Genomic DNA, 27,109 nt, shown 5'->3' with positions numbered 1-27,109 from the left:
ATACTATCTTTCAACTAAGTTAAATACTTTTTAGATTGATGAGAGATTTCTTTCCTCTCTTTATTAAGGTATAATTTCCCACAATAAAGTTCATAGATCTTAAGTGTTCTCTTCAGTAACTTTTTACAGTTGTAAACATTCATATAATCACTCAATACAAGATTTAAAAAAATCGTATTTCTTTAGAAAACTCACTTGTGGCTGGGCACAGTGGTTATGCCTCTAATCCCAGCACTTTGGGAGACCAAGGTGGGCGGTTGGCCTGAGTTCAATTTGAGACCAGCCTGGGCAACATAGCGAGACCCTGTCTCTGAAAAAAGAATTTTTTTTTTTTTTTTTAATTTATGAAGAAAGCTCACTTGGGCCAGTTGTGGTGGCTCACACCTGTAATCCCAGCACTTTGGAAGGCTGAGGTGGGAGGATCACGAGGTCAGGAGTTCATTCGAGACCAGTCTGGCCAACATGGTGAAACCCTGTCTCTACTAAAAATACAAAAAATTAGCTGGGCGTGGTGGCAGGTGCCTGTAATCCCAGCTACTCGGGAGGCTGAGGCAGGAGAATCGCTTGAACCCAGGAGGCTGAGGTTGCGGTGAGCCAAGATTGCGCCACTGCACTGCAGCCCGGGTGACAGAGCGAGACTCCATCTCAAAAAAAAAAAAAGAAAAAGGAAAGCTCACTTGTGCCTCTTCCCATGATCTGATTTCTATTGCCAAGATTAGTTTTGCCTGTTCTAGAACTTTATATAAATGGAATTAAACAGTAATGTACACTTTTGTGCCTAGCATCTTTCACTCAGCCTGCACCTGTGGTGGTGTCTGTATTGATTGTTCTTTGTATTGCTGAATAGTATAACATTGCATGAATTTGTTTATCCATTTTTGTGTTGATTGACATTTGGGTTGCTTCCAATTTGGGGCTATCGTAAATAAGACTTATGAGCATTCCTTTTTTTAACTTATGTTTTCATTTCTCATGGGTAAATACCCAGGATTGGAATCCTGGGTTATAAAGTAGATCTGTGTTTAACTTTTTAAAAATCTACCAAACAATTCTCAAAAATTATTATGTCACACTATTTTATATTCACCAACAGTATGAGTTTCAGTTGCTCCACATCCTCACCAACATTTGGTGATATCAACCTTTGATTTTAGCTTTTCTAGTGGATGTTAAATGTTATTTCATTGTTATTTTAATTTGCATTCTCCTCATAACTAATAATACCAAGAATCTTTCATGTCGTTATTAGCCATTGTATATCTTTTCTTTTTTCAAGTCTTTTGCCCGTTTTTAAATTGGGTTGCTTATGTTTTTAAGATTGGTTTTTAAGAGTTCTAGATATATTCTGAATAAGAATCCTATGTTAGAAATATGTAATGCAAATATTTCCCAATCTGTTGCTTACCTGTTGATTTTGTTAATGGTGTCTTTTAATGAGGATCAGTGTACCAATTTTTAAAATGTTTTCTGCCTTTTGTGGTCTGTGTTTGGTAAGAGGTGGATGTTTAGGTCAGGTTGGCTTTTTTCCCCCCACATAGGTATCTGGTTGTTCCAACAGTATTTGTTTTTATATGTTGACCTTGAATCATTTAATCTTGCTTTGCACTTAACAGTTTTATAGGGTTGTGGGGTTTTGGGATCAATTCCACAGAGCTTTTCTACACACAGTCAGCCCTCTGTATCCATGGGTTCTGCATCTGTATATTCATCCAAACATGGATTGAAAATGTAGTTAGGCCTATTGTGGTTGTGTCTGTACTTAATATGTACAGTTTTGTTTTTCTCTAAACAATATAATATAATAACAATTTCCATAGCATTTACATTATATTAGATATTATCTAGAGACAATTTTAAATATACAGGAAGGTGTACTTAGGTTATATACAAATACTACACCATTTCTTATCTTTTCTTTTTTTCCTGTCTCTTCCCTCCTTCCCTCTCTTTCTCTCTCTTTCTCTTTCACTCTCTCTCTTCAAAATCCTCCTGGGTCCTGGGACCAATCTGCCACAGATACCACGAGACAACTGCATACAATCATGTCATCGCCAAATAAAGAGTTTTACTCCTTTCTTTCCAATCTGTATGCCTTTCTCACGTGTATAGATTTGTATGACCACCACCACACTCAAAATACAGAACAATTCCATCACAAGTGTCCCTGTGCTACTCCTTTTGTAGTCAAAAGGCAGCTTCCTTCCTCCACCTCTCCCTAATCCATAGCAACATTAATCTGTTCTCCATCTCCATAATTTTGTCTCTTCAAGAGTGTTATATGAATGGAATCAAATAATGTGTAATCTTTTCTGATCAGCTTTTTTTCCCATTCAGTATAATTCCCTTAAGATCAATCCAAGTATAATTTGTTTTTTTCTTGTTGAGTAGTATTCCATAGTATAGATGTATCACAGTTTGCTTACCCATTTATTTGGGTTGTTTCTAGGTTTTGGTTATTATGAATAAAGCTCCTATGAACATCTATGTGCAGGTTTTTTTAAATAGATATAAAATGTTATATGAATTTTTGTTTCTTGAAATTAAAGGCCCAACAGTGCAATTTGCTGGGTTATATGGTAAGCATATGTTTAGTTTTCTAAGAAATTGCCATATTCTTTTTCCAGAGTGGCTGTGTAATTTTATGTTTCCATCAGCAGTATATGAGTGATTTACTTTCTCTGCATTCTCACAAGCATTTGATGTTACTACTGTTTTTATTTTTTTTAACTCTGATAGATGTGTAGTGACACTTATTGTGGTTTTAATTTGCATTTCTCTAATGACTGATGATGTTGAATATCTTTTTGTGTGCTTATTTATCACCCATATGTCCTCTTTAGTGAAATGTCTTTTACAATAAATGAGTTTTTGTAAATGGCCTGTATTTATTTTCATTTTAGTAAACTGTTTCACGTTAGACCTGTAACCCAAGGAGATGTGTATAGAGCTGAAACTGAAGAAATTCCTAAAATATTCCAGGTAAAAATCTGAAGTTATAATTTTAAAGAATCTAAGTCCTAAGCGTTTTTGTGAAGTAAATGTAAAATATACCAATGCTTAAGATTTTTAAAATCTTTTCCTTTCACCATTCCTGAATGTAGATACTATATGCAAATGAAGGTGAATGTAGAAAAGATGTAGAGATGGAACCAGTACAACAAGCTGAAAAAACTAATTTCCAAAATCACAAAGGCCATGAGTTTATTCCTACACTCTACCACTTTCCTGCCAATTGTGATGCCTGTGCCAAACCTCTCTGGCATGTTTTTAAGCCACCCCCTGCCCTAGAGTGTCGAAGATGCCATGTTAAGTGCCACAGAGATCACTTAGATAAGAAAGAGGACTTAATTTGTCCATGTAAAGGTAAGGCATGGTAATTATTGTTACAACTTATAACAAATTTAATTTTAAGTCTCAATGAACTAACTTATGTGTAGTGATTTCTATACCAAGTTGAAAAGAGATTATAGAAAGTATTATTTTGACACTGGTGGGGCAATATGCAGCTATTTACAGATTTAGCTTTTAAAAATGTTTTTATTTATTTTTATTGATTGACTGATTGATTGAGATGGATTCTCACTCTGTCTCGCCCAGGCTGGAGTGCAGTGGCGTGATCTCAGCTCACTGCAGCCTCTGCCTCCCAGGTTCAAGTGATTCTCCTATCTCAGCCTCCTGAGTAGCTGGGACTATAGGCGTGTGCCACCACACCCGGCTAATTTTGTATTTTTAGTAGAGATGGAGTTTCACCATGTTGTCCAGGCTGGTTTCGAACTCCTGACATCAGGTGATCCACCCACCTCGGCCTCCCAAAGTGCTGGGATTACAGGTGTGAGCCATTGCACGCCCGGCCAACAGTGTTTTTAAAGAGAATCACCCCCTTGTAAACAAACAAAAACAAACAAACATGCTGCTAAGAAATTATTCCAAGTTGGAGAGAAGAGCAACAGGTGAGTTCCACTCTATTCCTCCCTTGAGTTTTTCCTCTTCTTTTTGTCTGGCATTCACTGCCTGGATCAGCATGCATGCTGTATCACAGAATATCTTCTAGTTTTACAGAGGTAGCTTGAGGGAAAGAATACAGACCATAGCTATTTTCAGATAAGAAGCTTATGTTCTTTAAATACATTTATTTGTTTTACATTTTGTTATATTTCTGATTTTACTTTATTAGTTTGACTAATTTTTTTTTTTAATTTCAGCCTTATTTAACTTAAGGAGAATGAGATATTGTTCATGCTTAATTAAGCATATTAAAACTTTTAAAACCTTAAGAACTTGAAAAACTATGCATTTGATAGGTTGGATTTTAAAAAACTATATGGCTTTAATTATGCTTTTTTTTTCCTCCTTAACATAGTAAGTTATGATGTAACATCAGCAAGAGATATGCTGCTGTTAGCATGTTCTCAGGATGAACAAAAAAAATGGGTAACTCATTTAGTAAAGAAAATCCCTAAGAATCCACCATCTGGTTTTGTTCGTGCTTCCCCTCGAACGCTTTCTACAAGATCCACTGCAAATCAGTCTTTCCGGAAAGTGGTCAAAAATACATCTGGAAAAACTAGGTAAGGATTTGAAATGCTAACGTTTTTAACAATGTGAAAATGATTGGATAACAGCTATTAAAATCAGAAATCTAATTGTGCTTTTCACCACAGAGGGCATCATTTTTAGGTATTTGTATGTGAATTGCAGTGACTTTATAAATTAGTTTAACTTATTCTTGTTAGAGTTTAATAATAATAATACATGCAATATTATATTTATTTAGTTCTGTGTCTAATTTTATTGTCATAAGTTGCTGTACATGGCATAGTTTTAGCCCTTAATGCTTTAACCAACTTAATTTTTTTAATGCAGAAATTCATATAAAACTTTTCATCATCTTTTCTGTTTTTTAACTGTGTTGGCATAGTTTTTCTACAAAAACCAAAATTGTTTTTCCCTTTTTTGTTAACTTCCCATACTATCCCAACATACAAAATTATTTGGTATTATCAGTGACTATGTTTTTTTAATTATTATACTTTAAGTTCTGGGATATATGTGCAGAACATGCAGGTTTGTTACATGGGTATACACGTGCCATGGTGGTTTGCTGCACCCATCAACCCATCATCTACATTAGGTATTTCTCCTAATGCTATCCCTGCCCTAGCCCCCCATCCCTCGACAGGCCCTGGTGCGTGACGTTCCCCTCCCTGTGTCCATGTTTTCTCATTGTTCAACTCCCACTTACGAGTGAGAACCTGTGGTGTTTGGTTTTCTATTCCTGTGTTAGTTTGCTGAGAATGATGGTTTCCAGCTTCATCCATGTCCCTTCAAAGGATGTGAACTCATGACCCCCTTTTTTTTTTTGTTTTTTGAGACAGAGTCTCACTCTGTCACCCAGGCTGGAGTGCAGTGGTGGCGCTATCTCAGCTCACTGCAACCTCCACCTCCCAAGTTCAAGCAATTCTCCAGCCTCAGCCTCCCAAGTAGCGGGGATTACAGACGCATGCCACGCCTGGCTAATTTTTGTATTTTTAGTAGAGAGAGGGTTTCATCATGTTGGCCAGGCTGATCTCAAACTCCTGACCTCAAATGATCTGCATGCCCCAGCCTCCCAAAGTGCTGGGATTACAGGCGTGAGCCACCATGCCTGGCTGTTTAACTATTTTTGATGGACTTTTTTCCAAAAATATGTTTTATGCCATGATAAACAATTATAAGGCATAACCATTCATTCATTCATTCATTCATTCATTCATTCATTCATTTTGAGACAGAGTCTCGCTCTGTCACCCAGGCCAGAGTGCAGTGGCGCAATCTCAGCTCACTGCAACCTCTGCCTCCCAGGTTCAAGCTATTCTCCCACCTCAGCCTCCTGAGTAGCTGGAATTACAGGCACATGCCACCACGGCCTGCTAATTTTTGTATTTTTAGTAGAGATGGAGTTTAACATGTTGGCCAGGCTGGTCTTGAACTCCTGACCTCAGGTGATGCACCTTCCTGGGCCTCCCAAAGTGCTGCGATTACAGGCATGAGCCACCGCACCAGGCAGTTAACTCTTTCTTGGAGAGAAATAATGAAATCTCATCTCATTAAGTTCTCATTTTACACATTAGTAAATAAGGCTCAGAGAAATTAAGCAGTTTGCTCAATCACACAGCCAATGGATTGGAAACCATTTCTGTCCAATTCTAAAGCCTATGTTGTCCAATTCCAAAGCCTCTATTCTACCACATACCACCTTCCCTAGAGTGTACTCCCTAGATTAATAGGGCCACTCGAATTAGAAGCTGAGACCTAACACTGATTTGCCTCGCTGCCAATGTCACCTACATCTTCCAAGCAGGCTTAAAGCCATCTTGAATTCATCCCTTTTGTTCATGCCCTATTGTCAGTAACCAGGCCTAATTCTTTGAAATGACTTATATCCTTTCCTTTCTCAGCCACCATACTATGCCAGGTATTATCACCTTACTGCTAACTTAATTCTGTAGAATGCTATGTCAGCCTTCTCCTGAGCATAGGTTGTAAACTGGATCTAAAATGATTTGAAATGAGATTATAGCTGAGTAAGAAAATGTGTAGAAACAAAGAGGAGAGAATACTAAGTATATTTTTCCTATTCCTTGTTTTCCAAATTTTGTGTAATTGTTAATTATTTTATGTAAAGATAATGTATATTTACCTTTCCTCCTAATGTTTGTTTCTTGTATTTTTAAACTGAGTGCATTTCTTAAATTAGTTTTTTCCCCCTCCCTCAACAGTTAACCATGTGACTGAGTGCCCTGTGGAATCGTGTGGGATGCTACCTGATAAACCAGGCTTCTTTAACCATGCAGAGCAGACAGGCTGTTTCTTTGACACAAATATCACAGGCTTCAGGGTTAAGATTGCTGTTTTTCTGTCCTTGCTTTGGCACAACACACTGAGGGTTTTTTTTATTGCGGGTTTGCCTACAGGTAGATTAGATTAATTATTACTATGTAATGCAAGTACAGTTGGGGGAAAGCTTAGGTAGATATATTTTTTTTAAAAGGTGCTGCCTTTTTGGATTTATAAGAAAATGCCTGTCAGTCGTGATAGAACAGAGTTTTCCTCATATGAGTAAGAGGAAGGGACTTTCACTTTCAAGTGGAACAGCCATCACTATCAAGATCAGCTCATGGAAGGAGTAAAGAAAATATCTCAAAATGAGACAAACTGAAGTTTTGTTTTTTTTTTAATGACTTAAGTTTTTGTGCTCTTGCAAGACTATACAAAACTATTTTAAGAAAGCAGTGATATCACTTGAACTTCAGTGCCCTCACTGTAGAATTTAAAAGCCTTACTGTTGATTGCCCATGTTGGACTTGATGGAGAAATTAAATATCTTTCATTATGCTTTACAAAATACTGTATATGTTTCAGCAAGTTTGGGGAATGGGAGAGGACAAAAAAAAGTTACATTTAATCTATGCATTTTTGCCAAGCCATATTGAGTTATTTTACTACTAGAGACATTAGGAAACTAACTGTACAAAAGAACCAAGTTTAAAAGCATTTTGTGGGGTACATCATTTCTATAATTGTATAATGTATTTCTTTGTGGTTTTAAATGATAAAGACATTAAGTTAACAAACATATAAGAAATGTATGCACTGTTTGAAATGTAAATTATTCTTAGAACACTTTCAATGGGGGTTGCATTGTCCTTTTAGTGCCTTAATTTGAGATAATTATTTTACTGCCATGAGTAAGTATAGAAATTTCAAAAAATGTATTTTCAAAAAATTATGTGTGTCAGTGAGTTTTTCATTGATAATTGGTTTAATTTAAAATATTTAGAGGTTTGTTGGACTTTCATAAATTGAGTACAATCTTTGCATCAAACTACCTGCTACAATAATGACTTTATAAAACTGCAAAAAATGTAGAAGGTTGCACCAACATAAAAAGGAAATATGGCAATACATCCATGATGTTTTCCAGTTAACATAGGAATTACCAGATAAATACTGTTAAACTCTTGTCCAGTAACAAGAGTTGATTCATATGGACAGTATGATTTATTGTTTATTTTTTTAACCAAATACCTCCTCAGTAATTTATAATGGCTTTGCAGTAATGTGTATCAGATAAGAAGCACTGGAAAACCGATCGTCTCTAGGATGATATGCATGTTTCAAGTGGTATTGAAAGCCGCACTGATGGATATGTAATAATAAACATATCTGTTATTAATATACTAATGACTCTGTGCTCATTTAATGAGAAATAAAAGTAATTTATGGATGGGTATCTTTAATTTTTACTGCAATGTGTTTTCTCATGGCTGAAATGAATGGAAAACATACTTCAAATTAGTCTCTGATTGTATATAAATGTTTGTGAAATTCCATGGTTAGATTAAAGTGTATTTTTAAAAGATAAAACGTGGTCTTGGGCTCTAAAACAAGAGTGGGAATAGTTCACATGAAAAGCTGGCTAAAGTGTGTTGGAAAACAATTCTCCATGGGTCTCTTGCATTTCTACACATCAGGGAAGCAGAGGCTCTGACAACCTTTCTTTTGACTATCTTTTCCAAGGATATTTATGTAGTAAACAGCCTTGGAAGATAGAGTTCTCCCTTGTGAGGATGTCGGGTTCTTTTACTGTCCAGTATAATAAAGATAACGTCTCCCACCTATGATGCAAACCCACTGTGTGCTCAGCACCCACCTGGGCCACTCTGCATTGCCCACATGGGGCTTGGAGGGCAAAGGGAACTGATGGAACGTGAAACTTATGCTGCTTTTGCTGTGCTGTGAATGAAGTCATCTGACTCTGACCCAGGGGTCTCATCTCTTTTGTCAGGATCCATGAAACTGTGACTGGCAGCATGCAAACAGGATAAAATCTCAGCACAGTTCCTGACGGTGTCCTTACTACCTTCTCAGACTCATCACCATTACCTAATATTTTAAGGTCCAGTTGCAGAGAACAGAGTTAATTCTAATTAGTTTAAGCAAGAGAAGACTTTCCAAATGACATACTAATCTGAACTTAGAATTGTTGAGAACTGAGAGAGCTTTGAGGAATCACTCCCAATGCCACATTACAGAACTGGGTCAACCAGGAGAGCTGCTTCCTCTTCTAAGTTCAGGAAACCACTCACTCCCAAGTATACCAATATTGAGAGGGTCCAGATAGTGCCATAATCAGGAATCCACACTACCACTGCTGGTTCTCTGCAACACTTGTCAGGCTTGCTACAATCTACCTCCAGTTAGATGTTTTGTACCATTCCTCTTGCCACTTAAGAACCTCATGTCTGCACACTGCCTCAGAAAAGGCACTTCCATGACCCTGCTTGCTGGCATTTAGCACAGCCTGCATCTCACGTCTGCCTTCTCTAGGTGCATCTACGTGGCCAAAATTAAATCACATCCAGACCCCTAGCTGCAAGAAAGTCTGAGAAATATAGCCTCTAGCTTTCTCTCTAATTTGTTACAGGAGGACACACTAGGAGTGTGGAATGAAGGTTCAGCATTGAGTTAGCCCATGCACCCACACCTGTAAGCTTCTCTGAGATCAGGAACTCCAGCTTTGGGCAACAAAGAAAACATAGCCACTGTCATTATTCACAGGTTCACTCATGACCTGTCATTTGGGGTTTCAGCTTAAATTAACCCATTCACCCTTCATTTAAAGTAAAAAAAATAAGTAAAAGAACTTAAATGACAAACTCATAGTTACTTGAGTTTGTAATTCATAGTTAACTTTCACAGTTCTATAATCAATCTGGAATTCAGAGTGAGGTAGAGATCAAGCAGTATTTCTCCCATATGGATATTCAGTTGATACTGCAGTATTCATTGAAAATACTTCTTTCCTGCATCGTAATTCAGGTGAACAATCCATTGGTGTTATTTCTGTGTCCTTGCCAATATCACACTTTTAATTACTGTAACTTTATAATAAGATTTTATATCTGTAGTAGAAGTCCAACTTTGTAATCCCTCCCAATTGGCTTGGCTATTCTTGGCCTTTTGCATTTCCATATAATTTTTTATTTTTGTTTTGAAACGAAGTTTCGCTCTTGTTGCCCAGGCTGGAGTGCAGTGGCGCGATCTCGGCTCACTGCAACCTCCGCCTCCCAGGTTCAAGTGATCCTCCTGCCTCAGACTCCCGAGTAGCTGGGATTACAGGTGCCCACCACCATGCCCAGCTAATTTTTGTATTTTTAGTAGAGACAGGGTTTCACCATGTTGGCCAGCCTGGTCTTGAACTCCTGACCTCAGGTGATCCACACCCACCTTGGCCTCCCAAAGTGCTGGGATTACAGGCATGAGCCACCGCGCCTGGTTGCATTCCCATATAAATTTAAAAACAATCTACTGAAAGATGTATACGACCTCCACCAAGAAAATTGTAAGACATTTGGAGAAGTTTAAAAAGACATGAATAAACGGAAATGGTTTTTTTAAATAAACAAATGATTTTTAAAGTTGATCATTAGGTTAATAAATAGTCATATAATGACAATCCGATGAGATTATGTTGCCCAGGGTGGTCTCTAACTCCTAGCCTCAAGCAGTTTTACTCTCTCATTACAGGTGTAGGCCACCGTGCCTGGCCTGACACTTGGAAATCTTAATCACAATTATTCTTTGTTTTTATAATGTTTACTGTTCAAATCAATTTCTGGTTGGATAGTATGTATATATAAAGCCATGCTCAATGGCCTAGATATATTTACTGCCAAATCTTTTATGCTTTTAGTGTTTTTTTTCTGGACAAGATCTATGCTTATTGCAATAAATTAAATGCAAAGAATATTCTAGTAGAAAGTCAGTCTGCACTTCCTAAACCCCACCCCACCCCACCAATTCCTTCATAACTGTTATTAACAGTTAGCTGTGTTTTCTAATGGATTATCTCCAAAGTATATGTAACTCAGATTTTTGTGAGGTAGGAAAAGAATAACATTAATTCCACTTCACATATTGAAAGTCTAACATACAAAGAGATTAAATATCTCCTTTCTTTTGCCAAATGTTAATGAATTGTCTTATGAGAATTAAGATATGATACTTTCTCCCAAGCTATACTGTTTCCCATAAAGTATTTGAGATGTTGGAGATTCAAGGGAAAAAATATAAATGCTTAGAAATAAAGTGTATAATGCAAAGATTGTGAATAAAGTGACACTTGTATGTTAATCCTATAAATTGGTTTCTTGTACCATGTAGGATGGTTTGGCTATTAAATTGAATTAAGTGGTTCATTTGCCTGGATAACTGTGAGTGTAGAATCTAACTTTCACTTAGACTAGTTATTTAAGAAAGTCTACAACCGGCCGGGCACAGTGGCTCACGCCTGTAATCCCAGCACTTTGGGAGGCCAAGGTGGGCACATCACCAGGTCAGGAGATTGAGACCAGCCTGGCTAACATGGTGAAACCCCATTTTTACTAAAAATACAAAAACAAAATTAGCCAGGCGTGGTGGTGGGCGCCTGTAGTCCCAACTACTCGGGAGGCTGAGGCAGGAGAATGGCGTGAACTCACAAGGCGGAGCTTGCAGTGAGCCGAGATCACACCACTGCACTCCATCCTGGGCGACAGAGAGAAACTCCATCTAAATAAATAAATAAATAAATAAAGTCTACAACCAAATAATGTGGCAGAAATATAATATGGGCCCAGCTGGGTAAAAGGAAATATTTTGGATCTTCCTTCTACTTAGGCCGAATGGATGTTTCTGGTTTGTTTTGTTTTGTTTTGAAATGGAGTCTTGCTCTTGTTGCCAGGCTGGAGTGCAGTGGTGCGATCTTGGCTCATTACAACCTCCACCTCCCGGGTTCAAGCAGTTCTCCTGCCTCAGCCTCCCGAGTAGCTGGGATTACAGGCGCCTGCCACTATGCCCAGCTAATTTTTGTATTTTTAGTAGAGACGGGGTTTCGCCATGTTGGCCAGGCTGGTCTCGAACTCCTGACCTTGTGATCCACCCACCTCAGCCTCCCAAAGTGCTGAGATTATAGGCGTGAGCCACCATGCCCAGCCTGAATGGATGTTTCTTAGATTTACTCACTCTTGGCCAAGGTTTCATTAGTTCTGGTTGATGTAAGTTCTGTGCTGTGTGCAACACATTTGCTAACTCTGCTCAGGCCTAATTCTCATTCAAAATATGTCAATTAATCACAAGAGGGGCCATCTAAGAGTAGGCATAAAGGAGGTCAAAACTAGAAAAGAAAAAAAAATGTTTCCACTACGTTATTACCTCAAGATCTTGAAATTAAGATGTTTCAAGGTTAAAACGTAACTTTCACCTTTACAAAAAGTATCCTATTCTCAACTTTACAAGGTATTACCAACTATAGGTATTAACATCCCTACTTTATGATAGGACAATTTTATATGTTTAGGCCAGGCACAGTGGCTCATGCCTGTTATCTCAGCACTTTGGGAGGCCAAGGCCAGTGGTCACTTAGGTAGCTCAAGACCAGCCGTGGGCAACATAGCAAAACCCTGTTTCTACCAAAATACAAAAAAGTAGCAAGGTGTGGTGGCATGCATCTGTGGTCTCAGCTACTTGGGAGGCTGAGGTGGGAGGATTGCTGGAGCCCAGGAAGTTGAGGCTGCAGTGAGCCGTGATTGTGCCACTGCACTCCAGCCCGGGTGACAGACTCTGTCTCAATAAATAATAAAATACATAATATTCTGTTCTAGGGCACACAGCTATAAACCTCAATTTGCTAGATGGAATGTGAAGGTAAACTAACTTACAGCTGAAAAAAAAACAGTCATGAATTTGAATCCTGACTTACTGGGCTTTAGTATATTTCATATATCATAATCTGTTATTTAGAGGGGAAAACTTTGATTTCACTGTCATGGTATGGAAATAAGTCTTGGTTTTTTAAACTTTATAGTATGAACTCATCACTCATTTATAGTAGGCAGAAATATAGCTGTAAATGAACATTTTATCAAATGCAAAATAACAAATATAATAATAGGTGTCATTTTTTACTGGACTGAAAGCCTCTAGCAGGCTACACTTCATAAAGGAAACATTAAATGAATTATGAGCTTTATGAACACTATAGATTATTTTTCCTTTATGGTAATGTCATTTAACAGGAACTTTATTACTAAAATTCATCTCTAGGCATTGTTCAGTTGGATATATGTTGTATGTTGTCATTTCATAATATTCAGAAACTAATATTAGCTATTATAGAAATTTTTCTTATTTTTCCTTTTTACACCATATATACATTACATCCTGTGTCAACTACAGCTCACTTCTGTGGTTCTGACTATTCAACAAGAATTCCTAGGTCTGTCCTGTGTACCATATTGTTATTCTAATTATCCATATAATTATACTGCATTAAACACTGCTATCTGTGAATAGGCTCATTTATTTTACTAAGTTCAAGATAATACTGATATTTTTTAATTCTGCAAAAAATATAAAATGCATTTTTATACCTACTACCCAGAATGAGCAAATATTGTCTTTATATTTCCTTTAAATTGCTTTTTTTAAAGAAATAAAAATTACAGATTTAACCAAAGACTTCTGTGTACCTCCGTTCCCAGTTCTATTCTCTTTCCTTCCCCCTCAAAAGCCATAAATAACTGCTGTTAATTTGATGTGTATTCTCCTCATTCGCATTCTGTCCCTTTGCTAAAACCCTTGTATCTATATAAAGCTGTTTTATATGGCTTCTACATTTATATAAATGGCATTACACTTTTCACATGTAATACTCTATAACTTGGCTTTTTTTGTTTTTGTTTGATTGTTTTTGTTTTTTTGTTTTTGTTTAAGATAAGGTCTTGCTCTGTCGCCCAGGCTGGAGTGCAATGGTGTGATCACAGCTCACTGCAGCCTCGACCTCCTGGGCTCAAGCGATCCTCCCCCCACCTAAGCCTCCCAAGTAGCTAGGACTACAGGCATGCACCACCATGCCCGGCTGATTTTCTTACTTTTTGTAGAGATGGGGTTCCACTGTTGTCCAGGCTGCTCTTGAACTCCTAGGCCCAAGCAATCCTCCCACCTTGGCCTCCCAAAGTGCTGGGATTACATATGTAAGCCACGAAGCCCTGCCTCTATACCTTGTTTATTTCATCAACATTATTTATACCATTTACAATCCAAAGAGTATTTACATTACATTATAATGTCATATCTATTCCAACCAGGCTTTCAAGAAAGTGCATTTACTGTCATAGAAAAAAGGGAACATCTTCATAATCGTGCCTGAAATTGTATTTCTCATTAGCTCACTTGTTTAATGAATGTATTACATTAATTCACACTTGCACCACAAATACTCAAAAAGTAGAAACTCTCAACTATTCTCATGTTAATCATATTATTATTACAAATTATGTGATCAATAACTCCTCTAACTATAAAAGAGGCAGGCCAACCTAGAACAAACATTGTAATTAACAAGGAAACCAGAGTCAGAAACAACCAGGATTCCTACTATTATTCAACATTTTTCTGAGATAAATGCAGCAAAACACAAATACGTATTACACATATTGGAAAGAAGCAGCAAACCTGCCATTACTTGCCGATCATGATTGCTTACCAAAACTGTTCCAAACAACTAACTGAAAAATGATTAGAACTAGCAAGAGACCTTAGTCATATTTAGCCTTATTTGTTTTGTTAGACTCATATCATATTTTAAAAATATCGTTTAGTTGCTAATTTATCTTTTTTTTGAGATGTGTATTAGTCCATTTTCACCCTGTTAATAAAGACATACTTGAGACTGAGCAATTTACAAAAGAAAGACATTTAATGGACTTACAGTTCCATGTGGCTGGGGAAGCTTCACAATCATGGTGGAGGCTGAAAGGCTTGTCTCACATGGAGGCAGACAAGATAAGAAAGCTTGTGCAGGAAAGCTTCCACTTATATAATCATCAGATCCCGTGAGGGTCACTTACCCCCACAAGAACAGCACAGGAAAGACGTGCCCCCATGATTAAACTACCTCCCCCAAAGCCTCCCACAATGCCTGGGAATTCAAGATGAGATTTGGGTAGGGACACAGCCAAACTACATCATTCCATCCCTGGCCCCTCCCAAATCTTATGTCTTCGTATGTCAAAACCAATCATGCAGCCGGGTGCAGTGGCTCATGCCTGTGATCCCAGCACTTTGGGAGGCTGAGGTGGGTGAATCACCTGAGGTCAAGAGTTCAAGACTAGCCTGACATGGTGAAACCCTGTTTCTACTAAATATATAAAGGTTAGCCAGGCATGGTGGCAGGCACCCATAATCCCAGCTACTCAGGAGGCTGAGGCAGGAGAATCCCTTAAACCTGGGAAGCAGAGGTTGCAGTGAGTTGAGATCATGCCTCTGCATTCCAGCCTGGGACTCAGAGCAAGACTCCATCTTAAAAAAAGAAAAGGAAAAACAAAACAAACCAATCATGCCTTCCCAACAGTCTTCCAAAGTCTTAACTCATTTCAGCATTAACTCAAAAGTCCACAGTCCAAAGTCCCATCCGAGACCAGGCAAGTCCCTTCCGCCTATGAGCCTGTAAAATCAAAAGCAAGTTAGTTACTTCCTGGATACAATGGGGGCACAGGCATTGGATAAATACAGCCATTCCAAATGGGAGGCATTGGCCAAAACAAAGGGGCTACAGGATCCATGCAAGTCCAAAATACAGTGGGGCAGTCAAATCTTAAAGCTCCAAAGTGACATCTTTTGACTCCATGTCTCATATCCAGGTCACACTGTTGGGAGAAGTGGGTTCCCATGGTCTTGGGCAGCCCTGCCCCTGTGACTGCAGGGTTCAGCCCCCTTCCTGGCTGCTTTCATGGGCTGGTGTTGAGTGTCTGTGGCTTTTCCAGGCACACAGTGCAAGCTGTCAGTGGATCTACCATTCTGGGGTCTGGAGGATGGTGGCCCTAGGCGGTACCCCAGTAAGGACTCTGTGTGGAGACTCCAACCTCACATCCCTTCTGCACTGCCCTGGCAAAGGTTCTCCATGAGGGCCCCACCCCTGCAGCAAACTTCTGCCTGGGCATCCAGGCATTTCCATACATCTGAAATCTAGGCCAAGGTTCCTAAACCTCAGTTCTTGACTTCTCTGCACCTACAGGCTCAACACCACATGGAACCTGCCAAGGCTTGGGTTTTCCACTCTCTGAAGCAACAGCCCAAGCTGTCTCTTAGCCCCTTTTAGTGACGGCTGGAGTGGCTGGGATGCAGAGCACCAAGTCTTTAGATTGCACACAGCATGTGGACCCTGCCTGGCCCACAAAACCATTTTATCCTAGGCCTCTGGGTCTGTGATGGGAGGGGCTGCCGTGAAGGCCTCTGACATACCCTGGAGACATTTTTCCCATTGTCTTGGGGATTAACATCTTACTTATGCAAATTTCTGCAGCCAGCTTCAATTTCTCCTCAGAAAATGAGTTTTTCTTTTCTATCACATTGTCAGGTTGCAAATTTTCTGAACTTTTATGCTCTACTTCCCTTATAAAACTGAATGCCTTTAACAGCACCCATGTCACCCCTTGAATGCTTTGCTGCTTAGACATTTCTTCCACCAGATACCCTAAATCATCTCTCTGAAGTTCAAACTTACATAAATCTCTAAGGCAGGGGCGAAATGTTGCCAGTCTCTTTGCTAAAACATAACAAGAGTCACCTTTGCTCCTGTTCCCAACAAGTTCCTCATCTCCATCTGAGTCCACCTCAGCCTGGACCTTATTGTCCATATCGCTATCAGCATTTTGGACAAAGCCATTCAACAAATCTCTAGGAAGTTCCAAACTTTCCCACATTTTCCTGTCTTCTGCTGAGCCCTCCAAACGGTTTCAACCTCTGCCTGTTACCCAGTTCCAAAGTTGCTTCCACATTTTCCGGTATCTTCTCAGCAACACCCCACTTCTGGTACCAATTTACTGTATTAGTCCATTTTCACACTGCTGATAAAGACATACCTGAGACTGGGCAATTTACAAAAGAAAGACATTTAATGGACTTACAGTTCCACGTGGCTGAGGAGGCTTCCCAATCGTGGTGGAGGGTGAAAGGCATGTCTCACATGGTGGCAGACAAGATAAAAGAGCTTGTGCAGGGAAACTCCCCCTTCTATAATCATCAGATCCCATGAGAGTCATTCACCACCATGAGAACAGCACAGGAAAGACCTGCCCCCATGATTCAACTACCTCCCACCAGGTCCCTCCCACACATGTGGGAATTCAATACGAGATTTGGGTGGGGACACAGCCAAATCACATCAGATGGGGTCTCACTCTCTTGCCCAGGCTGGAGTGCAGTGGTGCAATCTCGGTTCATTGCAAGCTCTGCCTCCTGGGCTCAAGTGATCCTCCCACCTCAGTCTCCCTAGTAGCTGGGACCACAAGCACATGCCACCATGCCCAGCTAATTTTTTGTATTTTTGGTAGAGATGGGGTCTTGCCATGTTGCCCAGGCTGGTCTTGAACTACTGAGCTCAAGCAATCTGCCCATCTTGGCCTCCAAAAGTGCTGGGGTTGCAAGAAAATAGTTGCTAATTTAAAAACTGGAATACTTCAAATACAAATCTGATTTCCAATAACTGTTTCTCAACAAAGGGCCAGAGGCCTGCACATCAGCAATATCCTCTCACTGTTTTCTGAGAGAGGATATGTTTTCTATTTCACACAGTCCTTACCTGGACCACTTATTTGTGTTATCTGTCTGATGTTTAAGATCACCTGAATTTTCAGTGCTGCCAAAAAAGGTAACAATTGGCATATGATACATACAAATATAAAACATTCCCTTTCATAGAGCAGGTTTGAAACACTCTTTCTGTAGTATCTGGAAGTGGACATTTCGAGCGCTTTCAGGCCTATGGTGGAAAAGGAAATATCTTCCCATAAAAACTACACAGAAGCATTCGCAGAAACTTGTTTCTGATGTGTGTCCTCAACTAACGGAGTTGAACATTTCGTTTGACAGAGCAGTTTGGAAACACGCTTTCTGTAGAATCTGCAAGTGGATATTTGGATAGCTTTGTGGATTTCATTGGAAACGGGAGTATCTTCATATAAAATCTAGACAGAAACATTCTCAGAAACTGCTTTGTGATGTCTGCATTCAAGTCACAGAGTTGAACATTCCCTTTCATCGAGCAGGTTTGAAACACTCTTTTTGTAGTATCTGAATGTGGACATTTGGAGCGCTTTGATGCCTACAGTGAAAAAGGAAATATCTTCCCACAAAAACTAGACAGAAGCATTCTCAGAAACTTGTTTGTGATGTGTGTCCTCAACTAACAGAGTTGAACCATTCTTTTTACAGAGCAGTTTTGAAACACTCTTTTTGTAGAATCTACAGGTGGATATTGGGATAGCTTTAAGGATTTCATTGGAAACGGGAAAATCTTCATATAAAATCTAGACAGAAGCATTCTCAGAAACTTCTTTGTAATGTGTGTCCTCAACTAACAAAGTTCAACCTTTCTTTTGATACAGCAGTTTGGAAACACTCTTTTTGTAGAATCTGCAAGTGGATATTTGGATAGCTCTAACGATTTCATTGGAAATGAGAATATCTTCATATAAAATCTAGACAGAAGCACTCTCAGAAACTACTTTGTGATATCGGCATTCAAGTCACAGAGTTGAACATTCCCTTTCATGGAGCAGGTTTGAAACATTCTTTTTGTAGTATCTGGAAGTGGACATTTGGAGCGCTTTGACGACTTTGGTGAAAAAGGAAATATCTTCCCATAAAAACGAGACAGAAGCATTCTCAGAAACTTGTTTGTGATGTGTGTACTCAACTAACAGAGTTGAACCTTTCTTTTTACAGAGCAGTTTTGAAACACTCTTTTTGTAGAATCTGCAAGTGGATATTTGCATGGCTTTAAGGATGGCATTGGAAACGGGAATATCTTCATGTAAAATCTACACAGAAGCATTCTTAGAAACTTATTTGTGATGTGTGTCCTCAACTAACAGAGTTGAAACTTTCTATTGATAGAGGAGTTTTGAAACACTCTTTTTGTGGAATCTGCAAGTGGATATTTGGATTGCTTTGAGGATTTCGTTGAAAGCGCGCATTCATATAAAAAGTGGACAGCAGCATTCTCAGAAATTTCGTTCTGATGTTTGCATTCAACTCATAGAGTTGAACATTCCCTTTCATAGAGAAGGTTTGAAACACTCTTTTTGTAGTATGTGGAAGTGGACATTTCGAGCGCTTTGACGCCTATGGTGAAAAAGGAAATATCTTCCCATAAAAAATAGACAGAAGCATTCTCAGAAACTTGTCTGTGATGTGTGTACTCAGCTAACAGAGTTGAAGCTTTCTTTTCACAGAGCAGTTTTGAAACACTCTTTTTGTAGAATCTGCAAGTGGATATTTGGATAGATTTTAGGATTTCGTTGGAAACGGGAGTATCTTCGTATATAATCTCGACAGAAGCATTCTCAGAAACTGCTTTGTGATGTCTGCCTTCAAGTCACAGAATTGAACATTCTCTTTCATAGAGCAGGTTTGAAACACTCTTTTTGTAGTATCTGGAAGTGGACGTTTGAAGCACTTTGAGGCCCATGGTGAAAAAGGAAATATCTTCCCATAAAAACTAGACAGAAGCATTCTCAGAAACTTCTTTGTGATGTTTGTACTCAACTAACAGAATTGAACCTTTCTTTTGACAGAGCAGTTTTGAAACACTCTTTTTGCGGAATCTGCAAGTGGATATTTGGATAGCTTAGAGGATTTCGTTGGAAACGGGAATATATACATATAAAATCTAGACAGAAGCATTCTCAGAAACTTCTTTGTGATCTTTTCATTCAACTCGTAGAGTTGAACATTCCCTTTCATAGAGCCGGTTTGAAACACTCTTCTTGTACTACCGGGAAGTGGACATTTGGAGCGCTCTGATGCCTATGCTGAAAAAGGAAATATCTTCCTATAAAAACTACACAGAAGGATTCTCAGAAACATGTTTGTGATGTGTGTACTCAGCTAACAGAGTGGAACCTTTCTTTTTACAGAGCAGCTTTGATACACTATTTTTGTAGAATCTGCAAGTTGATATTTGGATATTCCCGTTTCCAATGAAATCCTTAAAGCTATCCCAATATCCACCTGCAGATTCTACAAAAAGAGTGTTTCAAAACTGCTCTGTAAAAAGAATTGTTCAACTCTGTTAGTTGAGGACATACATCACAAACAAGTTTCTGAGAATGCTTCTGTCTACTTTTTATGGGAAGATATTTCCTTTTTCACTGTAGGCGTCAAAGCGCTCAAAATGTCCACATCCAGATACTACAAAAAGAGTGTTTCAAACCGGCTAGATGAAAGGGAATGTTCAACTCTGTGACTTGAATGCAGACATCAAAAAGCAGTTTCTGAGAATGCTTCTGTCTAGATTTTATATGAAGATATTCCCGTTTCCAACGAAATCTTCGAAGTTATCCAAATATCCACTTGCAAATTCTACAAAAAGAGTGTTTCCAAACTGCTGTATCAAAAGAAAGGTACAGCTCTGTTAGTTGAGGACACACATCACAAATAAGTTTCTGAGAATGCTTCTGTCTACTTTTTATGGAAAGATATTTCCTTTTTCAACATAGGCCAGAAAGCGCTCAAAATGTCCACTTCCAGATACTACAGAAAGAGTGTTTCAAACCTGCTTTATGAAAGGGAATGTTCAAACCTGTGACTTAAAAGCAAACATCACAAAGAAGCTTCTGAGAATGTTGCTGTCTACTTTTTATATATAATCCCGTTTCCAACGAAATCCTCAAAGCCATCCAAATATCCACTTGCAGATTCCACAAAAAGAGCGTTTCAAAACTGATCTATAAATAGAAAGGTTCAACTCTGTTAGTTGAGTACATATATCCCAAAGAAGTTTCTTAGAATGCTTCTGTCTAGTTTTTATGGGAAGACATTTCCTTTTTCACCAAAGGCGTCAAAGCGCTCCAAATGTCCACTTCCAGATACTACAAAAAGAGTGTTTCAAACCTGCTCTAAGAAAGGGAACGTTCAACTCTGAGACTTGAATGCAGATATCACAAAGTCGTTTCCGAGAGTGCTTCTGTCTAGATTTTATATGAAGATATTCCTGTTTCCAACGATATCTTTAAAGCAATCAAAATATCAAATTGCAGATTCTACAAAAATAGTGTATCAAAGCTGCTCTGTAAAAAGAAAGGTTCCACTCTCTTAGCTGAGTACATACATCACAAACATGTTTCTGAGAATCCTTCTGTCTAGTTTTTATGGGAAGATATTTCCATTTTCACCATAGGCGTCAGAGCGCTCCAAATGTCCACTTCCCGATACTACAAGAAGAGTGTTTCAAACTGGCTCTATGAAAGGGAATGTTCAACTCTACGAGTTGAATGAAAAGATCACAAAGAAGTTTCTGAGAATGCTTCTGTCTAGATTTCATATGAATATATTCCCATTTCCCAGGAAATCCTCTAAGCTATCCAAATATCCACTTGCAGATCCTACAAAAAGAGTGTTTCAAAACTGCTCTGTCAAAAGAAAGGTTCAACTCTGTTAGTTGAGGACACACATCACAAAGAAGTTTCTGAGAATGCTTCTGTGTAGGTTTTACATGAAGATATTGCCATTTCCAACGAAATCCTTAAAGCCATTCAAATATGCACTTGCAGATTCTACAAAAAGAGTGTTTCAAAACGGCTCTGTAAAAAGAAAGGTTCAACTCTGTTAGTTGAGTACACAAATCACAAACAAGTTTCTGAGAATGCTTCTGTCTCGTTTTTATGGGAAGATATTTCCTTTTTCACCAAAATCATTAAAGGGCTCCAAAGGTCCACTTCCAGATACTACAAAAAGAGTGTTTCAAACCTGCTCCATGAAAGGGAATGTTCAACTCTGTGACTTGAATGCCGATATCACAAAGTAGTTTCTGAGAGTGCTTCTGTCTAGATTTTTTATGAAGATATTCCCGTTTCCAACGAAATCGTTAGAGCTATCCAAATATCCACTTGCAGATTCTACAAAAAGAGTGTTTCCAAACTGCTGTATCAAAAGACAGGATGTACTCCGTTGGTTGAGGACACACATCACAAAGAAGTTTCTGAGAATGCCTCTGTCTAGATTTTATATGAAGATATTCCCGTTTCCAATGAAATCCTTAAAGCTCTCCAAATATCCACTTGCAGATTCTCCAAAAAGAGTCTTTCAAAAGTGCTCTGTAAATAGAAAGTTTCAACTCTGTTAGTTGAGGACAAACATCACAATCCAGTTTGTGAGAATGCTTCTGTCTAGTTTTTATGGGAAGATATTTCCTTTTGCACCGTAAGCGTCAAAGCGCTCCAAGTGTCCACATCCAGATACTACGGAAAGAGGGTTTCAAACCTGCTCTATGAAAGGGAATGATCAACTCTGTGACGTGAATGCAGACATCATAAAGCAGTTTCTGAGAATGTTTCTGTCTAGGTTTTCTATGTTGATACTCCCGTTTCCAACGAAATAGTGAGAGCTATCCAACTATCCACTTACATATTCTACAAAAAGAGTGTTTCCAAACTGCTGTATCATAAGAAAGGATGAACTCTGTTAGTTGAGGACACACATCACAAAGAAATTTCTGAGAATGCTTCTGTCTAGTTTTTATGGGAAGATATTTCCGTTTTCAACATAGGCCTGAAATCGCTCGAAATGTCCATGTCCACATACTACAGAAATAGTGTTTCAAACCTGCTCTATGAAAGGGAATGATCAACTCTGTGACGTGAATGCAGACATCATAAAGCAGTTTCTGAGAATTTTTCTGTCTAGGTTTTCTATGTTGATACTCCCGTTTCCAATGAAATAATGAGAGCTATCCAACTATCCACTTACATATTCTACAAAAAGAGTGTTTCAAAACTGCTGTATCATAAGAAAGGATGAACTCTGTTAGTTGAGGACACACATCACAAAGAAATTTCTGAGAATGCTTCTGTCTAGTATTTATGGGAAGATATTTCCGTTTTCAACATAGGCCTGAAATCGCTCGAAATGTCCATGTCCAGATACTACAGAAATAGTGTTTCAAACCTGCTCTATGTAAGGGAATATTCAACTCTGTGACTTAAAAGCAAACATCACAAAGAAGGTTCTGAGAATGCTGCTGTCTACTTTTTATATGTAATCCCGTTTCCAAGGAAATCCTCAGAGCTATCCTAATATCCACTTGCAGATTCCACAACAAGAGCTTCTCAAAACTGACCTATAAATAGAAAGGTTCAACTCTGTTAGTTGAGTACATATATCCCAAAGAAGTTTCTTAGAATGCTTCTGTCTAGTTTTTATGGGAAAACATTTCCTTTTTCACCAAAGGCGTCAAAGCGCTAAAAATGTCCACTTCCAGATACTACAAAGTGTCTCAAACCTGCTCTAAGAAAGGGAATGTTCAACTCTGTGACTTGAGTGCAGATATCACAAAGCAGTTTCTGAGAGTGCCTCTGTCTAGATTTTATATGAAGGTATTCCCATTTCCTATGAAATCGTTAGAGCTATCCAAATATCCACTTGCATATTCTACAAAAGGAGTGTTTCGAAACTGCTGTATCAAAAGAAAGGTTGAACTCTGTTAGTTAAGGACACACATCACAAAGAAGTTTCTGAGAATGCTTCTGTGTAGATTTTACATGAATATAGTCCCGTTTCCAAGGAAATCCTTAAAGCCATCCAATTATCCACTTGCAGATTTTACAAAAAGAGTGTTTCAAAACTGCTGTGTAAAAAGAAACGTTCAACTCTGTCAGTTGAGTACACACATCACAAACAAGTTTCTGAGAATGCTTCTGTCTAGTTTTTATGGGAAGATATTTCCTTTTTCTCCAAAGTCGGCAAAGCGCTCCAAAGATCCATTTCCAGATACAACAAAAAGAGTGTTTCAAACCAGCTCTATGAAAGGGAATGTTCAACTCTGTGACTTGAATGCAGATATCACAAAGTACCTCCTGAGAGTGCTTCTGTCTAGATTTTATATGAAGATATTCCCGTTTCCAAGGAAATCGTCAGAGCTATCCAAATATCCACTTGCAGATTCTGCAAAAAGAGTGTTTCCAAACTGCTGTATCCAAAGACAGGTTGTACTCTGTTAGGTGGGGACACATATCACAAAGAAGTTTCTGAGAATGACTTTTCCGTTTCCAATGAAATCTACTTAAAGGTATCCAAATATCCGCTTGCAGATTCTACAAAAAGAGTCTTTCAAAACTGCCCTGTAAATAGAAAGGTTCAACTCTGTTAGTGGAGGACATACATCACAAAGCAGTTTGTGAGAAGGCTTCTGTCTAGTTTTTAAGGGAAGATATTTCCTATGTCACCGTACGCGTCAAAGCGCTCAAATGTCCACATCCAGATACTACAGAAACGGTGTTACAAACGTGCTCGATGAAAGAGAATGTTCAATTCTGTGACTTGAATGCAGACATCACAAAGCAGTTTCTGAGAGTGCCTCTGTCTAGATTGTATATGAAGATATTCCCGTTTCCAACGAAATCTTCAAAGTTATCGAAATATCCGCTTGCAGATACTACAAAAAGAGTGTTTCTAAACTGTTGTATCAAAAGAAACGTTCAACTCTGTTAGTTGAGGACACCCATCACAAATAAGTTTCTGAGAATGCTTCTGTCTACTTTTTATGGGAAGTTATTTCCTTTTTCAACATAGGCCTGACATCGCTCGAAATGTCCACTTAGAGATACTACAGAAAGAGTGTTTCAAAACTGCTCTATGGAAGGGAATGTTCAACTCTGTGACTTAAAAGCAAACATCACAAGGAGCTTCTGAGAATGCTGCTGTCTATATTTTATATGTAATCCCGATTCCAACGAAATCCTCAGAGCTATCCAAATATCCACTTGCAGATTCCACAAAAAGAGCATTTCAAACTGATCTATAAAGAGAAAGGTTCAACTCGGTTAGTTGAGTGCATATATCACAAAGAAGTTTCTTAGAATGCTTCTGTCTAGTTTTTATGGGAAGACATTTCCTTTTTCACCAAAGGCGTGAAAGCGCTCCAAATGTCCACTTCCAGATACTACAAAAAGTGTGTTTCAAACGTGCTCTAAGAAAGGGAATGTTCAACTCTGTGACCTGAATGCAGATATCACAAAGTAGCTCCTGAGAGTGCTTCTGTACAGATTTTATATGAAGACATTCCCGTTTCCAACGAAATCGTTAGAGCTATCCAAATATCCACTTGAAGATTCTACAAAAAGAGTGTTTCCAAACTGCTGTATCAAAAGAAAGGTTGAACTCTGTTAGTTGAGGACACACATCACAAAGAAGATTCTGAGAATGCTTCTGTGTAGATTTTACATGAATATAGTCCCGTTTCCAACGAAATCCTTAAAGTCATCCAATTATCCACTTGCAGATTCTACAAAAAGAGTGTTTCAAAACTGCTGTGTAAAAAGAAACGTTCAACTCTGTCAGATGAGTACACACAACACAAACAAGTTTCTGAGAATGCTTTGGTGTAGTTTTTATGGGGACATATTTCCTTTTTCACCAAAGTCGTCAAAGAGCTCCAAAGATCCACTTCCAGATACAAAAAAAGAGTGTTTCAAACCAGATCTACGAGAGGGAATGTTCAACTCTGTGACTTGAATGCAGATCTCACAAAATTAGTTTCTGAGAGTGCCTCTGCCTAGATTTTATATGAAGCTATTCCCGTTTTCAACAAAATCGTTAGAGCTATCGAAATATCCACTTCCAGATTCTACAAAAAGAGTGTTTCCAAACTGATGTATCAAAAGACAGGTTGTACTCTGTTAGTTGAGGACGCACATCACGAAGAAGTTTCTGAGAATGCCTCTGTCTAGATTTTACCTGAAGATATTCCGGTTTCCAATGAAATCCTTAAAGATCTCCAGATATCCACTTGCAGATTCTCCAAAAAGAGTCTTTGAAAACTGCTCTGTAAATAGAAAGGTTTAACTCTGTTAGCTGAGGACATACATCACACACCAGTTTGTGAGAATGCTTCTGTCTAGTTTTCATGGGAAGTTATTTCCTTTTCACCGTAAGCGTCAAAGCGCTCCAAGTGTCCACATCCAGATACTTCGGAAAGAGTGTTTCAAACCTGCTCTATGAAAGGGAATGTTCAAATCTGTGACGTGAATGCAGACATTACAAAGGAGTTTCTGAGAATGTTTCCGTCTAGGTTTTATATGAAGATACTCCCGTTTCCAAAGAAATCCACAAAGCTATCCAAATATCCAATTGCAGATTCTACAAAAAGCGTGTTTCCAAGCTGCTCTGTCAAACGAAATGTTCTATTCTGTGAGTTGAGGACACGCATCACAAACAAGTTTCTGCAAATGCTTGTGTCTGGTTTTTATGGGAAGATATTTCCTTGTTCACCATAGGCCTGAAAACACTCGAAATGTCCACTTCCAGATACTACAGAAAGAGTGTCTGAAACCTGCTCTACGAAAGGGAATGTTCAACTCTGTGACTTAAAAGCAAGCATCACAAAGAAGCTTCTGAGTATGCTACTGTCTAGTTTTTATGGGAAGATATTTCGTTTTTCAACATAGGCCTGAAATCGCTCGAAATGTCCACTTCCAGATACTATAGAAAGAGTGTTTCTAAACTGCTCTATGGAAGGGAATGTTCAACTCTGTGACTTAAAAGCAAACATCACAAAGAAGTTTCTGAGAATGCTGCTGTCTACATTTTGTTTGTAATCCCGTTTCCAACGAAATCCTGAAAGCTATCCAAATATCCACTTGCAGATTCCACAAAAAGAGCATTAAAAAGCTGATCTATAAAGAGCAAGGTTCAACTCGGTTAGTTGAGTACATATATCACAAAGATGTTTCTTAGAATGCTTCTTTCTAGTTTTTATGTGAAGACATTTCCTTTATCACCAAAGGCGTCAAAGCGCTCCAAATGTCCACTTCCAGATCCTGCAAAAAGAGTGTTTCAAACCTGCTCTAAGAAAGGGAATGTTGAACTGTGTGACTTGAATGCAGATATCACAAAGCAGTTTCTGAGAGTGCCTCTGTCTAGATTTTATATGAAGGTATTCCCGTTTCCAAAGAAATCATTAGAGCTATGCAAATATCCACTGGCAGATTCTACAAAAAGAGTGTTTCCAAACTGCTGTATCAAAAGACAG

The 27,109-nt window shown here is 38.6% G+C and overlaps 1 protein-coding gene across 1 annotated transcript in view, besides 15 other annotated features; it reads left to right on the top strand.

Moving 5' to 3' along the window:
- Nucleotides 1-11,240, top strand: part of ROCK1 (Rho associated coiled-coil containing protein kinase 1) — a 164,908-nt gene extending 153,668 nt beyond the window's left edge. The window contains exons 30-33 of the mRNA NM_005406.3: nucleotides 2,901-2,979; nucleotides 3,102-3,363; nucleotides 4,361-4,568; nucleotides 6,759-11,240. Coding sequence (NP_005397.1) covers nucleotides 2,901-2,979; nucleotides 3,102-3,363; nucleotides 4,361-4,568; nucleotides 6,759-6,762 — 553 coding nt within the window. The 3' untranslated portion in view covers nucleotides 6,763-11,240. The remainder of the gene's footprint in view (nucleotides 1-2,900; nucleotides 2,980-3,101; nucleotides 3,364-4,360; nucleotides 4,569-6,758) is intronic.
- Nucleotides 17,747-18,352: an enhancer, noted in NCBI's record as "OCT4-NANOG-H3K27ac-H3K4me1 hESC enhancer chr18:18519755-18520360 (GRCh37/hg19 assembly coordinates)". NCBI's record gives its function as "activates a minimal SCP1, AML or CMV promoter by ChIP-STARR-seq in naive and primed H9 embryonic stem cells {active_cell/tissue: H9 hESC(naive and primed)}" and the evidence as "EXISTENCE:reporter gene assay evidence [ECO:0000049][PMID:30033119]".
- Nucleotides 18,353-18,960: an enhancer, noted in NCBI's record as "OCT4-NANOG-H3K27ac-H3K4me1 hESC enhancer chr18:18519147-18519754 (GRCh37/hg19 assembly coordinates)". NCBI's record gives its function as "activates a minimal SCP1, AML or CMV promoter by ChIP-STARR-seq in naive and primed H9 embryonic stem cells {active_cell/tissue: H9 hESC(naive and primed)}" and the evidence as "EXISTENCE:reporter gene assay evidence [ECO:0000049][PMID:30033119]".
- Nucleotides 18,961-19,566: an enhancer, noted in NCBI's record as "OCT4-NANOG-H3K27ac-H3K4me1 hESC enhancer chr18:18518541-18519146 (GRCh37/hg19 assembly coordinates)". NCBI's record gives its function as "activates a minimal SCP1, AML or CMV promoter by ChIP-STARR-seq in naive and primed H9 embryonic stem cells {active_cell/tissue: H9 hESC(naive and primed)}" and the evidence as "EXISTENCE:reporter gene assay evidence [ECO:0000049][PMID:30033119]".
- Nucleotides 19,567-20,174: an enhancer, noted in NCBI's record as "OCT4-NANOG-H3K27ac-H3K4me1 hESC enhancer chr18:18517933-18518540 (GRCh37/hg19 assembly coordinates)". NCBI's record gives its function as "activates a minimal SCP1, AML or CMV promoter by ChIP-STARR-seq in naive and primed H9 embryonic stem cells {active_cell/tissue: H9 hESC(naive and primed)}" and the evidence as "EXISTENCE:reporter gene assay evidence [ECO:0000049][PMID:30033119]".
- Nucleotides 20,175-20,780: an enhancer, noted in NCBI's record as "OCT4-NANOG-H3K27ac-H3K4me1 hESC enhancer chr18:18517327-18517932 (GRCh37/hg19 assembly coordinates)". NCBI's record gives its function as "activates a minimal SCP1, AML or CMV promoter by ChIP-STARR-seq in naive and primed H9 embryonic stem cells {active_cell/tissue: H9 hESC(naive and primed)}" and the evidence as "EXISTENCE:reporter gene assay evidence [ECO:0000049][PMID:30033119]".
- Nucleotides 20,781-21,388: an enhancer, noted in NCBI's record as "OCT4-NANOG-H3K27ac-H3K4me1 hESC enhancer chr18:18516719-18517326 (GRCh37/hg19 assembly coordinates)". NCBI's record gives its function as "activates a minimal SCP1, AML or CMV promoter by ChIP-STARR-seq in naive and primed H9 embryonic stem cells {active_cell/tissue: H9 hESC(naive and primed)}" and the evidence as "EXISTENCE:reporter gene assay evidence [ECO:0000049][PMID:30033119]".
- Nucleotides 21,389-21,996: an enhancer, noted in NCBI's record as "OCT4-NANOG-H3K27ac-H3K4me1 hESC enhancer chr18:18516111-18516718 (GRCh37/hg19 assembly coordinates)". NCBI's record gives its function as "activates a minimal SCP1, AML or CMV promoter by ChIP-STARR-seq in naive and primed H9 embryonic stem cells {active_cell/tissue: H9 hESC(naive and primed)}" and the evidence as "EXISTENCE:reporter gene assay evidence [ECO:0000049][PMID:30033119]".
- Nucleotides 21,997-22,604: an enhancer, noted in NCBI's record as "OCT4-NANOG-H3K27ac-H3K4me1 hESC enhancer chr18:18515503-18516110 (GRCh37/hg19 assembly coordinates)". NCBI's record gives its function as "activates a minimal SCP1, AML or CMV promoter by ChIP-STARR-seq in naive and primed H9 embryonic stem cells {active_cell/tissue: H9 hESC(naive and primed)}" and the evidence as "EXISTENCE:reporter gene assay evidence [ECO:0000049][PMID:30033119]".
- Nucleotides 22,605-23,210: an enhancer, noted in NCBI's record as "OCT4-NANOG-H3K27ac hESC enhancer chr18:18514897-18515502 (GRCh37/hg19 assembly coordinates)". NCBI's record gives its function as "activates a minimal SCP1, AML or CMV promoter by ChIP-STARR-seq in naive and primed H9 embryonic stem cells {active_cell/tissue: H9 hESC(naive and primed)}" and the evidence as "EXISTENCE:reporter gene assay evidence [ECO:0000049][PMID:30033119]".
- Nucleotides 23,211-23,818: an enhancer, noted in NCBI's record as "OCT4-NANOG-H3K27ac-H3K4me1 hESC enhancer chr18:18514289-18514896 (GRCh37/hg19 assembly coordinates)". NCBI's record gives its function as "activates a minimal SCP1, AML or CMV promoter by ChIP-STARR-seq in naive and primed H9 embryonic stem cells {active_cell/tissue: H9 hESC(naive and primed)}" and the evidence as "EXISTENCE:reporter gene assay evidence [ECO:0000049][PMID:30033119]".
- Nucleotides 23,819-24,424: an enhancer, noted in NCBI's record as "OCT4-NANOG-H3K27ac-H3K4me1 hESC enhancer chr18:18513683-18514288 (GRCh37/hg19 assembly coordinates)". NCBI's record gives its function as "activates a minimal SCP1, AML or CMV promoter by ChIP-STARR-seq in naive and primed H9 embryonic stem cells {active_cell/tissue: H9 hESC(naive and primed)}" and the evidence as "EXISTENCE:reporter gene assay evidence [ECO:0000049][PMID:30033119]".
- Nucleotides 24,425-25,032: an enhancer, noted in NCBI's record as "OCT4-NANOG-H3K27ac-H3K4me1 hESC enhancer chr18:18513075-18513682 (GRCh37/hg19 assembly coordinates)". NCBI's record gives its function as "activates a minimal SCP1, AML or CMV promoter by ChIP-STARR-seq in naive and primed H9 embryonic stem cells {active_cell/tissue: H9 hESC(naive and primed)}" and the evidence as "EXISTENCE:reporter gene assay evidence [ECO:0000049][PMID:30033119]".
- Nucleotides 25,033-25,638: an enhancer, noted in NCBI's record as "OCT4-NANOG-H3K27ac-H3K4me1 hESC enhancer chr18:18512469-18513074 (GRCh37/hg19 assembly coordinates)". NCBI's record gives its function as "activates a minimal SCP1, AML or CMV promoter by ChIP-STARR-seq in naive H9 embryonic stem cells {active_cell/tissue: H9 hESC(naive)}" and the evidence as "EXISTENCE:reporter gene assay evidence [ECO:0000049][PMID:30033119]".
- Nucleotides 25,639-26,246: an enhancer, noted in NCBI's record as "OCT4-NANOG-H3K27ac-H3K4me1 hESC enhancer chr18:18511861-18512468 (GRCh37/hg19 assembly coordinates)". NCBI's record gives its function as "activates a minimal SCP1, AML or CMV promoter by ChIP-STARR-seq in naive H9 embryonic stem cells {active_cell/tissue: H9 hESC(naive)}" and the evidence as "EXISTENCE:reporter gene assay evidence [ECO:0000049][PMID:30033119]".
- Nucleotides 26,247-26,854: an enhancer, noted in NCBI's record as "OCT4-NANOG-H3K27ac-H3K4me1 hESC enhancer chr18:18511253-18511860 (GRCh37/hg19 assembly coordinates)". NCBI's record gives its function as "activates a minimal SCP1, AML or CMV promoter by ChIP-STARR-seq in naive and primed H9 embryonic stem cells {active_cell/tissue: H9 hESC(naive and primed)}" and the evidence as "EXISTENCE:reporter gene assay evidence [ECO:0000049][PMID:30033119]".

The sequence above is a fragment of the Homo sapiens genome, chromosome 18 (genome assembly GCF_000001405.40).
Source record: "Homo sapiens chromosome 18, GRCh38.p14 Primary Assembly".
NCBI lineage: Eukaryota > Metazoa > Chordata > Mammalia > Primates > Hominidae > Homo > Homo sapiens.
Note: the sequence above shows the minus strand (reverse complement) of the source record. Positions and strands in the feature narration are given on the sequence as shown.